The sequence below is a fragment of the Homo sapiens genome, chromosome 10 (assembly GCF_000001405.40).
Source record: "Homo sapiens chromosome 10, GRCh38.p14 Primary Assembly".
Lineage (NCBI taxonomy): Eukaryota > Metazoa > Chordata > Mammalia > Primates > Hominidae > Homo > Homo sapiens.
Window position 1 is genome coordinate 89,138,848 of NC_000010.11, and position 2,441 is coordinate 89,141,288.

At 34.6% G+C, this 2,441-nt stretch overlaps 1 pseudogene; it reads left to right on the forward strand.

Moving 5' to 3' along the window:
• LOC100289238 (zinc finger RNA binding protein pseudogene) lies at positions 213-800 on the forward strand (annotated as a pseudogene).
• Positions 801-2,441: the final 1,641 nt, after the last annotated feature.

The following is a 2,441-nucleotide window of genomic DNA, read 5'->3' on the forward strand; positions in this document are numbered from 1 at the left end:
CTTGAAAAAATTTTTCTCTGAGCTGTTAGTGTATTTACATTTGGCTTAAGAAATTTTCTATTTTCTACCTCATTCTTGACTTATTCGTTACCTCTACATTTCTGCAATTTCTTGGAAGACAGAGCCCATGTTCATTTTATTTTGGTTACAATGCCTTGCACATAATGGCTAGGCACTTTAAGATGATGAAATAGTTGATAAAGTTTCTGCAACTATGGAGTTATTAGTAGAGAAAGCAATCAGCAGTGCTTCTAGCCCTCAGGGCCCTGGGGATGCACTGAGAAGAGTTTTTGAGTGCATTTCTTCAGGGATTATTTTTAAAGGTAGTCCTGGGCTTCTGGATCTTTGTGAAAAGGATCCCTTTGATACCTTGGCAACAATGACTGACCAGCAGTGTGAAGACTTCACATCCAGTACACAGTTTGCATTCAGACTCCTTGCATTCCACCAGATATACAAAGTTATAGGCATGGATCCATTACCACAAATGAGCCAACATTTTAACATCCATGACAACAGGAAATGAAGAAGGGATAGTGATGGAGTTGATGGATTTGAAGCTGAGGAGAAAAAAAGACAAAAAAAGATTATGATAACTTTTAAAAGGTGTCTGCAAATCTTCAGTGTTAAAAAAACAAAAAGTGCCCATTTGTTGGCTGTTTTTCATTCATAATAATGTCTACATTGAAACATTTATCAAGAATTTAAAGGATTTCATGGAAGAACCAAGTTTTTCTATGACATTAAAAAATGTACAGTGTTATGTATTATTTGAATGGAAAGACACCAAAAAAAAAAAATATGCTCCGACTAGGGGGAAAACAGTGGTTCCAATTTTTTCCCATTATTTTGATTTTATTTTCTGGTTGCCTTAGCTTCCCCACCCTATTTTTGTGTCTTCCATTAAGCAGTGCATTGTCATATTAAATCTTTACTGTATTTAATGCAGGATTTGTGCTTCAGTTGTTCTGTGTATTTTGATATTTTTATTTATAGATTTTGTTTGCTTTTTGACACGAGTTGTTAGTTTATGTTATAGATGATATCCTTTACCCCTTCTTAATATTGTACAGTACTTTTTTTGTAACGTGAGACTGAAGATTTTTTTTTTTGTTTTTCTATATGTGAAAGATTACAACTCAAAAAGTTATCCTGTCATTCGAGTGCTCAGAACGGAATGTTTCTGCAGATCTTGTGGCATTTGTCTCTAGTGTGATATAGAAAGGTGTAATTAAGACAGATTTCTGTTAATCTAATCAAGTTTGCTGTTAGTTGTGCATTAGCAGTATAAAAGCTAATATATACTATATGGTCTTGCAACAGTTTTAAAGCCTCTGCATAATTGATAGTAAAAAATGCATGACATTTTGGTCTTTAATAGACTTTTAAAATTATAATTTTAGGTTTAACATGTAGATCTTTGTACAGTTGACTTTTTGACATAGCAAGGCCAAAAGTAGCTTTCTGAATATTTTTTTCTTGTGTATAAGTGGAAACGGCATTTTTCACATATAAGTGGGCTAACCAATATTTTCAAAAGAACTTTATCATTGTGCAACTAACAACAGTAATTAGCCCTTAATTATGGTGACAGTTCCTTATTGGGGAGTGTGTGAGATTATCTAGCAACTATTACAGTATAACACAGTTAATCTTCTCCACACACCCTATTGCCCAGATAATTTACAATTCTGTTAATAGTGAGGTTGATAAAGTATTACTGATAAAAAAAAAGATTAAGAAAAAAACAGAAAATTATTTGGTGTGGCCATCTTACATGCTTATGTGTCTTCTACACAAAGCTAAATATTCTAGCAGTGATGTAATGAAAAATTACACCTTACTGTTGATGTATGTATGTTCTGGTACACAGATGTCATTTTGTTGTCACAGGACTACAGTGAAATACACAAATAAAAAATTAAATTAAAAAAAAGATCATCTGAAGGCCAGGCACGGTGGCTCACGCCTGTAATCCCAGCACTTTGGGATGCCGAGGCGGGCAGATCACGAGGTCAAGAAATCAAGACCATCCTGGCTAACATGGTGAAACCCTGTCTCTACTAAAAATACAAAAATTAGCTGGGTGTGGTGGTGTGCACCTGTAGTCCCAGCTACTCGGGAGACCGAGGCAGGAGAATCGCTTGAACCTGGGAGGCGGATGTTGTAGTGAGCTGAGATCGAGTCACTGCACTCCAACCTGGTGACAAAAGGAGACTCTGTCTCAAAAAAAAAAAAAATCTTAAAATGATATGTTGCTTATCATTAGTGATAAAATCAGATTATGCTCTTACATGAATTTTAATGGTGTTTAATTCTTCAAAGTAGATTTTTAAATGCTAAATATGTCTTTCCATATAATATTTGGAGACCTAAGAGTTGAAATAGTGGTATTTCAAGGTAGCTTGAATAAAGTGCATTGACAGACACTTCTGTAAGAT